The sequence below is a fragment of the Homo sapiens genome, chromosome 1 (genome assembly GCF_000001405.40).
Source record: "Homo sapiens chromosome 1, GRCh38.p14 Primary Assembly".
In the NCBI taxonomy this organism is placed as follows: domain Eukaryota; kingdom Metazoa; phylum Chordata; class Mammalia; order Primates; family Hominidae; genus Homo; species Homo sapiens.
In genome coordinates, this window is record NC_000001.11 from 23,723,755 (window position 1) to 23,725,506 (window position 1,752).

At 48.1% G+C, this 1,752-nt stretch overlaps 1 annotated feature.

Moving 5' to 3' along the window:
- Window positions 241–300: an enhancer, noted in NCBI's record as "active region_375". NCBI's record gives its function as "activates an Ori minimal core promoter by ATAC-STARR-seq in GM12878 lymphoblastoid cells {active_cell/tissue: GM12878}" and the evidence as "EXISTENCE:reporter gene assay evidence [ECO:0000049][PMID:35858748]".

Genomic DNA, 1,752 nt, shown 5'->3' on the forward strand with positions numbered 1-1,752 from the left:
ACTCCTGACCTCATGATCCGCCCCACCTCGGCCTCCCAAAGTGCTGGGATTACAGGCATGAGCCACTGCACCCAGCCCCTTTTCGGGCTTCTTACTCTTTTTCACCTTGCCTCAGGCCCTGAGTAGTTCCAGCTACTTTCACTTCTTCTTTACCACCTTCCCTATTCAGTCCATCCACTTGTGAGAGTTGTGGAGGGCAGCAGGGGAAGCATCAGTTGTCCTACAAAACCTGACTGCACTACAGGGCAACAGTCTCTTTAGCCACTCTCCTCCATGTTGCCCTGAAGATTAACACTCTGGGCATTTTTCTTCTTTTAAATAAAAAATAAAGGGATGGGTGGGGGAAAAGGGAGAAAATTTCTGCAATACTCACTTAAGAGCATTTAGAAAATACTGAAAAAAAAAATCACTTATAGGCCGGGCTCGGTGGCCCACGCCTGTAATCCCAGCACTTTGGGAGGCCGAGGCAGGCGGATCACCTGAGGTCAGGGGTTCGAGATCAGCCTGACCAACATGGAGAAACCCCCGTCTCTACTAAAAATACCCAATTAGCTGGGCATGGTGGCGCATGCCTGTAATCCCAGCTACTCGGGAGGCTGAGACAGGAGAATTGCTTGAACCTGGGAGGCGGAGGTTGCAGTGAGCCAAGATTGCATCATTGCACTCCAGCCTGGGCAACAGGAGCGAAACTCCATCTCAAAAAAAAAAAAAAATCACTTATGTCATGCCCACATAAATCCAATCACTGCCATCATTTTGGTGTGTTTCCTAGACGTAGATTATTTTGTTTTGTTCCTTTTATAGTTGTAATCATGCTGGTGAAACTGAACAAATTATAAAAACAAGAAGGCAGCTTAAGGGAGGCAGTTTATGTGTGGTACAGAAAAAGCAACAGGAAAATGTACCCATCGTAGGCAAGGGCATGGAAAACAGGCACTTCTTACAGTGTTGGTGGAAATGTACATTGGCAGAGCCTTTCTGGAGGAGAATTTTACAGTATCTATCAAAATCTTATAGATGCATGACTTTGACTCCAGAATTCTACTTAGAATTATCCTACAGTGTCCAACCGCACAAATTTAGGTGAATGCATCAGTTGTTTTTTAAAGAAGGAAAAACTAGGCCGGGCGCAGTGGCTCACGCCTGTAATCCCAGCACTTTGGGAGTCTGAGGCGGGCAGACTCACTTGAGGTCAGGAGTTCGACACCAGCCTGGCCAACATGGTGAAACCCTGTCTCTACTAAAAATATAAAAATTAGCCAGGCATGGTGGTGGGCGCCTGTAATCCCAGCTACTTGGGAGGCTGAGGCAGGAGACTGGCGTGAATCTGGGAGGCGGAGCTTGCAGTGAGCCGAGATGGCGCCACCGCACTCCAGCCTGGGCGACAGAGCGAGACTCTGTCTCAAAAAAAAAAAGGCCGGGCGCGGTGGCTCATGCCTGTAATCCCAGCACTTTGGGAGGCCAATGCAGGCGGATCACAAGGTCAGAAGATCGAGACCATCCTGGCTAACATGGTGAAACCCCGTCTCTACTAAAAATACAAAAAAAAAAAAAAAAAAAAATTATCCAGGTGTGGTGGCAGGTGCCTGTAGTCCCAGCTACTCAGGAGGCTGAAGCAGGAAAATGGCGTGAACCCGGGAGGCAGAGCTTGCAGTGAGCCGAGACCACGCCACTGCACTACAGCCTGGGTGACAGAGCGAGACTCCATCTCAAAAAAAAGAAAAAGAAAAAAACAGAGGACAACATAAATAA